The sequence below is a fragment of the Homo sapiens genome, chromosome 14, assembly GCF_000001405.40.
Source record: "Homo sapiens chromosome 14, GRCh38.p14 Primary Assembly".
Lineage (NCBI taxonomy): Eukaryota > Metazoa > Chordata > Mammalia > Primates > Hominidae > Homo > Homo sapiens.
This window is the reverse complement of record NC_000014.9, coordinates 93,712,206-93,725,214: the sequence shown is the minus strand read 5'-3', so window position 1 is coordinate 93,725,214 and position 13,009 is coordinate 93,712,206. Positions and strand designations below refer to the sequence as shown.

At 54.2% G+C, this 13,009-nt stretch overlaps 1 protein-coding gene and 1 long non-coding RNA gene across 3 annotated transcripts in view; one reads left to right on the top strand and one right to left on the bottom strand.

The window, feature by feature from the left end:
- The window catches only part of PRIMA1 (proline rich membrane anchor 1), a 70,697-nt gene extending 63,780 nt beyond the window's left edge, over positions 1-6,917 (top strand). For both annotated transcript variants that reach the window (XM_011536456.3, NM_178013.4), the window contains exon 5: positions 3,669-6,917. In XM_011536456.3, coding sequence (XP_011534758.1) covers positions 3,669-3,771 — 103 coding nt within the window. In that variant the 3' untranslated portion in view covers positions 3,772-6,917. The remainder of the gene's footprint in view (positions 1-3,668) is intronic.
- LOC124903367 (uncharacterized) lies at positions 10,708-12,544 on the bottom strand. Its single transcript, XR_007064313.1, has 2 exons — positions 12,256-12,544; positions 10,708-11,522 (listed from the first exon to the last, which is right to left on the bottom strand). It is a non-coding gene; the product is annotated as an uncharacterized LOC124903367 (long non-coding RNA).
- Positions 12,545-13,009: the final 465 nt, after the last annotated feature.

Genomic DNA, 13,009 nt, shown 5'->3' with positions numbered 1-13,009 from the left:
GCCCCTTACCTGCCACAGGTGCCGAGCCTCTGCCAAGCCCCTCTGCCTGCTTTCCTGTCTGGGAAACTGGCTGAGCAGCTGCGAAGGCCCTGGGCCCCCTCCTCACCCTGCCTTCCAGGGTCCTCCTGCCAGGCTCACTTCCTGCTTAGCTCTTCCGAGCCACCTCTTCCCCAGGGCCCGCGAGTACGAAGGGGTCTCAGAGATGGCAGGAAGCCTTTAGAACTGTCTCCTTGCCTCCTGCCAATAGAAATCCTACTGACCGCCTCACCTTAGCCGCAAAAGGGTGGAAACCTTGAGCCATCCAGGCTTAGTTATTTCTAAGGGAGCTCCATGCCGCCTTCATTTCTTCATTATCCACCCTAGAAGGCCCTTAAGCCATATCTCCCATGATCTGGACCTGTTGCAATTGTTTTTATTTTAGCCCTAAGCCCAATATGTAATATGTATTAAGGAGAATGCAGTGTGGGCTTGGGTCCAGACTCTTTTCTGCCTGTTAATATTTTCTGGAATCCTGATGCTGATGTCCTTTCTTCCCTTCATGTATTCGTGATATATTTATCCCACTTGAGTCCCTCAGCGGCCTCACTGGGGAGCACAGGATCTCACTGTAAGAAAATGTCACCCCCACAAATTGTCCAGGCCATGCAGATTTCATGGAGTCAGAAGTCAGGCACACCCAGCAACATCAGAGCTGCTTAAGGCTTTCTGGAAAAGGGGTGGGTAGGACAGGAACGGGGATGAAGGGGACAGAGGGAGCAAAAGGCCCAGGGCAGAGCTTGGCTGCAGAGTCCATCATTTCCCATGGATCCCGACATAAACAAGGTAGCACAGCTGAGGCCTGTAAACCCAGAGTTTCCAGAGAGTATCTGTTAGCGTCTACATAAATGGTGTTCTCAGATTCACGTGTGGGATATGCTGAGTTAAAGCAAAAGGAGACAGTTTTCTTGGAGGACTCTGCAGAATCTCTAAGAGGGGGGTGGAGGAAGGCTTTCCCAAGTTGATGAGGTCCCAGAGCTCATATGGGAATACCTGCTGGGAATGCTGATTAAATGGGAAGATGCTGGCACTTTGGGAGGCCGAGACGGGAGGATCACTTGAGGCCAGGAGTTCAAGAACAGCCTGGGCAACATAGCGAGACCCTGTCTCTACAAAAAATTTAAAACTTAGCCAGGCTTGGTGGCATACACCTGTAATCCCAGCTACTCAGGAGGCTAAAGCTGGAGGATCACTTGAGCTCAGGAGTGCAAGGTTGCAGTGAGCTGTGATGTTGCCACTGCCTAGGCAACAGAGCAAGACCCCATCTCCAAAATAGTAGTAACAATAATAATAATGGGAAGATAGATGTCTGGCCAAGACACAGTGTTAGTGGGTGGTGGTCCAGGCCCCACCACAAACCAGATGAGCGTCCTTGGGCAAATTAAGCCCTCTCTAAGCCTCAGTTTCCCCATGAAATGAATCTCTTACTCCAGGCCTAGCTTCTTAAGGTGACCACTGAGAGAAGGGACAAGGAAATCTCTGTGACGGAGAGTGCTTTGCACAAAGCATGATGCACTGTGGGAGGAATTGTGGGTTTGCCTCTTGCATTCCTGGAAGAAGCCACGGTGGCTGGGCTTGACCACCTGGAATGAGTGCACTTGGCTTGCTTAGCAGAAGTTTTGAGCTACTTCTGCTGCAGGAGAAAAGGGAACAGTTTGCTACCAGACTGAGCTCAGTGTGTAGTCTCTGAGTGGGCCTGATTGTTCTTCCCATGAACTGCTAATGATCCCCTCACAGACCCTGCCTCCTCTGAACTCACTCACTCAGGGCTTTATCCCAGAGACATCGAGCTGGTCACCAGGCACCAGCCCTTCTGACTGTGGCTCTGGGGAGGCTCTGGGAACATTTGAAAAGGCAGAAGCAATCAACTCCTGGGCCTATGATAATGACCATAAGTGTCCAGCCTGGACAGCTACCAGCAAGGGCAGATCCGGGCTCAACCCTGGCACCCCTGGGAACCCTGGAGGGGGCTGGGCTACAGCCCCGTGGGGATGAGATAGCGGAATTGTGGCATGGAATTGGGCTACAGAGAGCATGTGGCTTAGACCAGGAGGATACAGACACTCAGGCTGGGGGCCAGAGCCCTCCTGAACAACTTGAGGGAGGGAGGAAGTGAGACTTGAGCCAGGCCCAAAAGTACACTGTAATTTCAGAACCCCAGCAAGTGAGCAACAGCCTTCTCAGAGCCTCCCTCCCAGCCTTCCTGATCCCTTATATGCGTAGGAAAAACCACTTTTGGGGTTAGGGGCCCTCTGGAATGAGCTTCAAATGGCTCAGTTTAAAGTGTTCAGGAACCACTGATGTGTACTAACTTAGTGTAGATATTCACCACCATCATTGCTACCACCGCTGCCATTACCATCACTATCATCGCCACCCCATCTTCATTACCACTGTCACCATCATCACCGCCATCATCACCTCCATCACCACCACTGTTAACCCAACCATCACAACCATTACGCTAACCACCACTATCATCATCATTACCATCATCACCCCATCATCATTACCGCTATCACCATCGCCACCACCACTGCCATCACCACCACCAATACCACCTCCACCACCATATAACCACCATCACTATCACCACCAGCATTTTAACCTTCAACACCACCATCACCTCCATCACGAGTATCACCATCACCACCATTGTCAACCGAACCATCACCACCACCATTACCCTAACCATCACTATCATCACCACCATCATTAGCATCATCACTGCTGCCACCATCACCATTGCTACCTCCATCACCCCATTACCACCAGCATCACCACTACCACCATCACCCCATTACCACCAGCATCACCACTACCACCATCACCCCATTACCACCAGCATCACCACTACCACCACCACCCCATTACCACCAGCATCACCACTACCACCACCACCCCATTACCACCAGCATCACCACTACCACCACCACCCCATTACCACCAGCATCACCACTACCACCACCACCCCATTACCACCAGCATCACCACTACCACCACCACCCCATTACCACCAGCATCACCACTACCACCATCACCCCATTACCACCAGCATCACCACTACCACCACCACCCCATTACCACCAGCATCACCACTACCACCATCACCCCATTACCACCAGCATCACCACTACCACCACCACCCCATTACCACCAGCATCACCACTAGCACCATCTGCTTCATCACATTTTGAATTTGCCTTTGCCCACACTGAGGAAGACTGCAGAACTCAACCCCTAGCACTTCTCTTCTGTTAACTGTCTCTGCCCTGATCGAAGAGATCAGTCAAGGCCTGATCGTGCTAGACTGAACATACTTTCTTGTTTGTCCAAAACAGCCTGGACTCATACCTGTTGTCCCTGCTTCATCATTAATAGCTCCCCTCTTTCCCTCTCAACTGTGCCCCGGTTTTCATGACACCCGAGTTAAGACCACGTCCAGCTTCTGATTAACCCCACAAGGACTAGCAGCCCAAGGATGCTAACCGAGGACAGAGCCATTGGCTTCCTTCTGACACTCTCACGGAGCAGGGATGCTAGCTGGAGGTTACACCCCACCATCAGTGATAACTAATGGTGTCCCTGCCTCCCCCTCCTTTGCCTTTCCTGTCCCCTCCCCCCACTTCCAGGAAACCACTGAGAAAAGACGAAAATGGCACCAGCGTTGCTGAGTATCCCATGAGTGCTTCGCAGAGCAACAAAGGAGTAGACGTGAACAACGCAGTGGTGTGAGTCTGCAGGCCCTGGACCCGCTGGCCAGAGGGACACCTTGGTGGCACTGGTGGACATGGGAAAGCAGGTGGACATGAGCTAACCCTGAGCTTGTCCAGGACTTCATTGCCTCACAGGCCCTGAGCCTCCCGAAGGAGAAACCATTGTCTTCCCAGGCTTGCCCCTGGTCAGCCTGCGGGCCCAGGCAGCTCGGACACCAGGCTGAGCCCGGCGCAGCACCTGGGCAGTGTCCCCACCCCAGGCCCTCCACATCCTCCTCCCTGTCTGGTGTCTGGTCTGTCGACTGCCCCCAGCTGCTGTCTAAAGCATGCGCACTGGCGAAGCCAGAGGGATCTGTCTTTCTACTGTGGCAGGGAGGCTTCCCCCTTTAGCCAAAAGAAAGATGGTCCGGAGCCCACTCCCTGCCGGAAAACCTCTCCTCCTCCCAGGAAGCCTGCCTGCTCCACTGTTCACATTCTCAACAGAAGCCATCGGCACAGCCAGCAGACAGACGTCCCCTTTCAAAGGTGCTTCCCACACATCTGTTCATCGCCCCATCTGCAGTTGTTGTCAATCTTCAGGGCCTGCCTTCTCCCTCCTATCCCCACTGACACCCTACACCCTAGGCTCCTGACTGCCTGCCATGGAGGGCTGTGAGTCCAGCCTGCAGAATCCCCTCCTGAGCAGACACAGGAGTGCGTTTACACTCGGGGGCAGTGTCTGGCCTTCCGGGGGCAAAACGACTCACTGAACCCGCAGCCCAGGGCCACTGGGCAAGGGCAGAGGCCACTGCACCTGTCCTCAGACTCATCCCCACACTTGACCCCATAGGAACTGATGCATCTGTGTGAGCCAGGCCCTGCCTTAGTCAGCAGAGGCCACTACTTGTGCCAAATCCACTGTGGGCCTGCTGTACCAGGCTGATGCTGGCCAGGCGCTGGATGTCCCCCACAGTCCCCTGAGGCCTGACTGTTGTACTCAGGCCCTCTCCCAGAGTCCTCCATCATCTCCCCATTTTACCCTACCCCGAGCCCCAGTCGCCAAGAAGGAGGTGTTGTTCTTCCAGGGTCTTCCTTTCAATGTCTGTTTCCACAGTCTCATGCTATAGAAGCGCTGAGCCCTCCAGCGTGGTTGGAGGATCAAGGGATGAAATGGGACAGGAGGAGAGGGGTCCTCCAGGCTGGTGACCCCTGCCCTGTTGGCCTGTCTCCCAAGTGGCAGCCTTCCCTGTGGGCCACATCAGGAAACCCACGGAGACAGGGTGATTTTGCATCTCCTGGAAAATGAGTGGGACACTCCTGGCCCCCTGGCTCTCCCCACCACCCCTACATATGTGCTCAGAAGGAGCCCAATGCATTGAATGGTTCCACTGTCGAGCCCTCTAAGACCTGGTTTGCCTCCTAAACCTCCAGTGTGCTCCTCTGATAGGTGTTTAAGCTACAGGTGAGACTTTGAAGTCCAGAGAAGACAGACACACCTGAAAACCGGTCCCCATTTGGGCCGAACCTTAAAAAGCCCATTGTCCCAGAGTCCTAGTGCCCACGGAGCTGTCTGTGTGTCATTGTCCTGCCCAGGTCATCAGGTGTGGGCTGAGGACAGGCCCAGGGCATACCCTCCCATAAAGGGGTTTTCTTCTTTCCTCATTTCCTTCTATTTGAGGACTTGTTTGGGGTTTAGATTTGAATTTTGCTTCCCCTGGACACCTGGGCATCAGCATAGTGCCACCCCCTGCTCCTGACCTGGCCAGTACTTCACAGTGCTCTTGAGGTGCGGAGCCAGCTGACAAATAGGCCAGAGGGTGTGGGCCAGCAGCAGGTTAAAGGGGGAAACCCAGCAGACCCCACCCCAGGGCACTCTCCCCTACTGCCTTCAGCCTTCTGGTGCCTGTTGAACCCCCAAGCTGTGCCCTAAGCAGACCCCTGGGCAGGACCCTAGCCCTAAGCACACACCACCCTGTGCTGCAACCATGAGAAAGTGCCCATGCCTTGGGCTGTCCAGAAGCTCAGGAGTGATCAGAGGGCACCTTCTCTAAGAGGGGAGGTTCCTGGCTAAGGGACCATGGAGTGGTGGGCAGCCTGAAGGGGCTGGGCACAGCCCAGCTTTGCGCACACTCGCCTGGTCCCATCATTCCCTACCTTGGCTTAAACCTAGGAGGCCTGGATTTTGCAGTTAGCCTAATCTTCCAGCCCCAGGCGAGGCTCCCTGGTGAGGAATCAGCTGAGCCATCACCACGTTTTGGGGCCTGTATCCTCTTCCCTGAGCCGCTGACGCATCCAGGGCTCTAGTCTGCACATAAATTCCCTCTCAGCTGGGCTTGTAAAATCCCTTCTCACCCCAGTTAGCAAAAATCAAGGGAAGAGCCTAGTTTTTTTAAAAGATTCACTTAATATCCACCCCCCACCTCAAGCCCAAGACCGCCCATTCAAAAAACAAGTATACGGCACAGCAAGGGAGACCCACTAGATTTTGAGCTTACAGAGACATAAGGGTACTTAAAACCCTGCCGGCCTAGTATTTGAGCTTAGAACTTTTATTTAAAATGAGCCGGCAGTCTCTAGACACACACCGATCCTCAGGCTAGTCCGAGCCCTGAGGTCAAGAATGAAATGCACTTCCCTTCTCATTTTCTCAAATAGATCTTTTCCAGCCGTCTCACAGTTGACCCCAACTTTGGAACTCAGATCATAGGATCTCCCAGAGGTTTCAGGTGTTCCTAAGAAGCTTCTAAAGGAAGTTTTGGAAGAAAGACTAATAGGTGTAAACATATAAACATATATATTATATATAGCTATATATATTTAAAGAGATCTCTACATATATATATATATATAAATACAACTACTGTACTCTCTGCATCTGTACAAAGTATGAGTTAAACTGCCCAGGTAGTGTGAGATACGTAATGCATGAATGTGAATATCCTGAAATCTGCCTTCTTAGCAACGTGCCGCGTGTACTGGAGAGAGGACAGTTGCTCCTGGGAGTTCTCTCAATGGGCAAATGTACAAGTTGATGCCGTCTTATCCACCAACAAGCCATTAAGGTTGGTTTCCTGCTGAGACTTTTGTACCGGAAGCGAGACCGGCAGCACTGGGGGTGTCCATATGCCACTTATGAGGAAGAAAGCACCATGACTTTTTTATTTTCAATAAAAATATAGAGATGTCTGTCAGTTGTCATTTGTGGGGTGGGGGAAAGGAGAAGGCCGGCCTGAGGGATGGGGGGATCCTTCACTAGGGTCCTGCTATACCCCAGGGCTGGGCTGGGGACCTTCCATGGGATATCTCTGTATGTTTTATCCCAACGCCCCAGGGTCGGTATTTATGGGGCTTTCAAAGGCCAATTCTGTCCCTCAGCCTGCCACCCACCGCCTTGACCCTTGACTTAATTGAGAATAGGGCGACCAACCTTCCCAGTTTGCCTGGGACTGAGAGATTCTCCTGAACCTGGGACTTTCAGGGCTAAAACCGGGGATATCTGGGGAAAATGGGACAAGAAGGTCGCCCTAAGTTGACAAGTGCTCACAGGAATCACAGGGAGCAGGAATCAGCCGGCCACACCAACAGGGTGACGGTGGCCAGGGTCAGCCTCCTGGATGTCCACCCCATGTGTAGACCTCAGCACCCACAGGCTGCTCTGCAAAGCCTCCTTACCTGGCCAGTTGCATGGAGAATGGAGGCTTGCCCTGCACCCCCACGCAGAGGGGCCCAAAGGGCACAGGGCCCCCCAGGCTCAAGCTCCCGCCACCACCCCGCTGCTTTGTTTTCCCCGCTCCAGCCTCACCCTCAGGCAAGCCTCACAGGAAGCAGCCGTGGGGAAGAGCTTCCGGTGTGATGGGCCAGGAGGGATGTAGGAAGAGAGAAAAAGTTGCACCTGCAGCATCTTCATCCTCCTGTTTGGAGTGAGGAGACAGGTCAGAAATGGAGCACAATGGCCAAGGTCAAGCACATACCAGGAAACAGGGATGGGGCTGGGGGTTGAACCCAGCCTGGTGCCTTCAAGGCCCGGCCACTGGGCACAAGCGAGGGGCCACAACTCAGACTCTCTCCACCCCTGCCTGGCTTCCCTGGGGCTTCAGAGTTAGCTCAGTGAGGGCCAGCTAAGAGCCCTGTGTGCCCAGAGCCAGTGGGCAGGTATATCCCCCTAACTGGGCTCACAGCCCAGGGGACAGGAGCTCAGTGCAGGAACTCAGGGAAGGGCTTGTGTCCCAGGCATCAGGGACATGGAGGGAACATGGAAGTTATTAAAGGCACTCCTGTTACAAGCGCCCCTCGCACCTGGGATTCTGTGAGCTGCTGTTGGCCTGCATACGCAGTAGAAGACGCAGTAGACACGCAGTAGAAGATGGCCATTGTTACAATGACTGTCACTGTTGTCTTTAATGAAAGAGCCTGTGTGATAGTGAGGGCTCCTCTGTCCACTGGCCCCCTCCTGGGGCCTGCCTGAAAGCTGGTGAGGGTTCAGTGGGACATCTCAGGCCTCACACCCACTCCTGTGCACCCTCAGCCCAGGCGTCCTCAGCAGCAAGCTCGGAGGCCAGCAGGGAGTGGCAGGCCTATGTGCAGTGCTCTGCCTGCTTGTGCAGGGGCCTGGGAATGGGGACTCAGGGCCAGCCTGGCAGAGGGAGGTGGTGATCGGCTGAGCATACAGGTGCCGGGAGCCATCAGCACACAGGTGCAGCGTCAGAGCCCTCCTAGGGGCCAGCCCAGTGTCTCCACCTCACACCTTTGGGGACTTTGGCCACTGGTGACGACAGCTCCTATGGCCAACATGACAAACTATGCTCTGGCCACCTTACAGCTCCATGTCCTGCTCTGGGGTCCTGCTGCTGCCCGTGAGGTGGGAGATGCAGCAGGACCCACAGAACATCCCTGCCCAGCACCTGGCAGGGTGGCAGAATTACTGTCTTGGATGCATGAGAGCAAGTGATGGCAGGAAGGCTCTTCCTCCTGCCTTCCTCACACATGATACTATGGTGTGACATCACAGAAGATGGTCCTGTGAGCCTGAGTGAGCTGCTGCGCTGGCTTCGGGTGGCAGCTGGCTCAGTAACGTGGCCGCTCTGTGGCCTCACCTTTGGGCAGACTCACCCACATCACCAGGCTCATGACAGCCCCCATTGAGTGACTGGCTTCCTGTTCCTCTACCATCCTCCCACTTAGGAAGTAGCTGACCAGTCCTGTGACACATGGAGGATGCCCTGTCTCCATGCCTGGCACAAGTGGTGTCCACAGCCTGTGCTCCAGACACCTATGGCTGCCTTTGTCTGGGAGATCCAGCTCTGTGAGGGCCTGCTTGTGGGGGCAGGTGGAGCCGCATTCCCAGCCTGTCCTCCTCTCCTCTCCGGGCTCTCCTCTGGGGCTCCTTCTGCTCTCCATCATATGTTCATCCAGTCAGTCAGTCCCCAGATCCTTAAGTGGCTCTGCTACCAGCCAGGTACCACACTGAACACAGAGTTCAGCTTCCCAAACCAGAGGCCCCAGCTGGAAACCTCAGAGGTCCCCAGCTCCTTCAACCTGGTGAGTCCTACTTGGGCCCTCCCATCTGCTCTCCAACCCACCTCCACTTACCCAGCTCCTCCCCATACCATCCCCTACTTCCACTCCCTCTCTCTACCTGCCTCAGGCTTCTCCTCACTCCACGCAACCCCTGCCTGCCCAGCTGAGCACTCAAGCCCACCCTGCTGGCTGCTGTGGACCCATCTTTAGTCTAGCTGCCCTGGGCCCCGAGGCTTCCCCAGCCCCACTCCTCACTGCTCACCCCACCCCACGCCCCATCATCCAGCAAACCACACTCACTGCCAGCCTCGAGTTCCCACGCCCACCCCTTGGCTGGGCTTCGCTGTCCTTGCCCAGCTCACCTCTCCCTCCAGTTTCTGCCTGGCCACCACTCATCTGCTATCCAGGTCCCCTTCAGAGGCAGCCTCCTCGCTGAACACACGTGGATCATAAAGCCATGCATGCACAGAGCCAGAGGAATGCCCCCTCTCCTGGGCGGCACAGACAGCCCTGCACGCAGAGCTCCCACTCTCTGCCCTCTCTGGCGGATGTTTCCAGTTGGTTATCCTCCACTGCCTGAGCCTGGCAGTCCCTAGACAGCGGCTGCTCACTCATATCCTAGTGTTGACTGGGGACACGTGCTGTGTCCTGGGGATACAGAGGGAAGCAAGACAAGGCCCCTGCCCTCCAGGGGTAGGGTGGTGGTGGCAATGGCCCCACAATGTGCACAGTGACAATGACGACAGTGTGGACATAAAGGGACACTCAGGGCCAGCTTCCCAGGGCTTCATGTACTTTATCTCTTTAATAGTCCCTGCAAGCCTAGGAGGCAGGAAGATTACCCCCATTGTACAGATGAGTAAACTGAGGTTAAGTGGCTTACCAAGGGGTTAAAAAAAAAAAAAAAAAGCAGTTAAGGCACAGAGTGCAATTCAGACCTAGCTCTGTGTGGCTACAAGTTAGTTCCAAGCTCTTCCAACCCAGACAGTTCCTTGGATTTTAAATGGTCCATTTCAGCTGGATTTATAGCCGAGTATCTCCCCTGCCGTGGGAAGCACACAGCAGCTGCAGTCAGGGACCCCTGGGTCTAACAAAATCTCTTCATATGTGACTTCTGCAATGCTCTTTCCCTCTGAGCCTCGGATTTCTCATCTGTGAAGTTGCGGGAGATAATCTCCAGTGGCTCTTTTTCCGATTACCACCTGTGGCTCTCTTTGAGCACATCTCATCATTCTCTATTCTATCACCTGAGTTTATTTTCAGTACAGCACTTCTCAGCCCCTAAGAACAATTGCCCATCTGTGTACCTGCCTTTCTCCTCCCATTTCAATGTAAGATGGCGGGAGCAGGGGCCTTATTCGTCATCAAACATCCAGCCCTCCAAACATCCAAACGTGCTGGGCATGGGAAATATTTGTTAATTAACAGTGGGTTATACATTTTACACAGTACACACAGGCATAAAGGAAAAAATAGCATTTTATTTCATATAACTGTCCAGAGTCCCTGCCTCACTGGGTGTGAGGGGGGAGAGGAATAAAAACCCTGAATTTGTGGATTGATGGCATTGCAGCCTCTTCTGGTTTGACCAGAGTCTTTTGGGTGACTCTGGGTCTTGTAGATAGACCCTTAGTCATTGAGGCATCTTCCTGGGCTGCTCCCTGTAAGAAGCACCCGCAGGCACCCCTGAGCAGATATCTGTAGCCTGGTGCAGGGGAGCTGGGCTCAGGCCACACGGCATCTTCTGGGTTCTCACAGGTCTCTGCTGCAGAGGGGCTGGCCTGGGCTGCTTCCTGGACAGGTGACTGTGGGGCTGTGCCTGGGCTTTTCTAGGCGAAGGGTGACCCCTGCCCCCATCACTCCAGTTGCAAATGTCCAGGCTCGAAGCAGCCTCCTCCTCCTGACTGCAGCCTCTGTACGTGTTCCTGAACGCCCATGGAGACTTTTGAACTCTGCACACTCACCTGGTTCAGGGAGGGCTGTGGATGCCTCTCTTCGAGGTTTATGCGCCACCATCTTCCAGGGCTCCCAGGGGCCTTTTCAACTGGGCATCTCTACAACATCCTCACCCGTAAGAGGGAAGGTGAAGACACGCCCACCTGGCCTCCCAGCGCCCCCCTGAATTTGTCTCCCTTTTTCTCTTGCTGACAATCCCCTGCGGTCCTGAAGAGGTGATCTGTCTGCCTCCTCGTCCTGTCTGCCAGAACTTCCCCTACATCCCAACTTCCTCCTGCCCCATGAAATCCATGGAACTAGACAGGGGCACGTGGTTTCCTGGAGAAGAATAAAGAATATATCCATTTATTATTTTCAAAATATTATCCCCATTCCAAACCCAATCATGCGCTCACACCGTGTGAAGTCCAAATGCTGGCAGAACGCACCATATGGAGGAGGATTTCCCGGTTGCTCATTCAAACATAGAGACGTGAGTGGGCCGTGAGTCACCACACGAAGCCAGCAGCGTGGGAGCACCACGCTCAGAAGAATGGGAGCCAAATGCCCATTGCAAGCTGTGATTTCATTTCAGCAAAACACCAGCTGCCACACGGCATTACAATTTGAAGAATAAATGGCTGTGTGACTGCAAGGAATTTAACACAGAGCCAGGCATGCATCGAGTAGGGCGTGCCTCATCAAGGTTAGCTCCCATTCTTGTTTGGGATTCCCACTCTGTGCCCGGTACGTGACAGCCATCATTCCCTTCACTCCTTACAGGAAAGAGGAATTGTCATCTCCATTTTGCAGTTGATGAAACTGAAGCTTAGTGAGATTAAATGACTCACCTGTGGTCAGAGAGCAAGTTAGCAAGGAAGTCCAGACTCCAACTCTGAGAACCAACCTGGCTGCAAAGCCCTGTCTGGGTTCCTCTCCACCTGCCTCCCCCACCCGAGCCCAGCATGGGAGCCCAGCTTCTGCACTGCAAGCTGGAGGCCCTGGGCACACCCTGCTGTCCGCAGAGCCCCCCACACCCTGCATCCCCACTGGGCAGAGTGATTGTCCTCACCTGGAGAGTTTTTCTGTCCTTCATGCTTGATTGCTTGCTGGTTCCTTCTCCAAGTGGCCACTTCAAGGAGTGGAAATCAGGGCGTCTGCTAGGCAGCCCTGGGGAGCTCCCTCTCCACCCACCTGCGGGGAGCCTGTCTGGGCTGCATAATTAAAAAGCCAGCTCTTTGTTCTTAAAACAGCCAAATCTGTGGCTTCCACAAAGGTCCTGCACACCCTGCAGGGAAGAGCTGGTGCCAGGGGCTCACCTTGCCCCACCCACCTGACCTCAGCTTCTCTGAGTGAGAGGAATCCAGGACGGTCGTGGGTTGGAGAGAACAGCCCTGGCCTGAAACAGGGTCAGGGCTGATGGTTGGCATATGGAGGGGCAGGTGGGGGCAGAGGAGTGATGCCAGGGAAAGGAAGGGCCACATGGGGCAGACAGCATGGCTGAGTGGCGCTGGGAACATCCCACCCCTCTTGGCCCATAAAATGGGAGAGCCAGTCTAAAGTGGAGAGCAAAACCACTGCCCTGCAGGGCCAGGCAGGTGAATGAATGAGCACACCAGGCCTTGTAAACCAGCCCCGAGGTGGCAGGATTTCTGCCCATGGGCTGGTGGGTTGTTCTTCTTGCTTTGGAGACTGAGGTCAGTGGCGGGAACTGAGCAAAGCTGGAGACTGCATATTACACCAGAAGTATCCAGACCAAAGGAAGAAATTAGAAATTCAAGCGCAGCAAAGAAAATATGCTCTGGGCCAGGGCCAGCCGGCAGGTT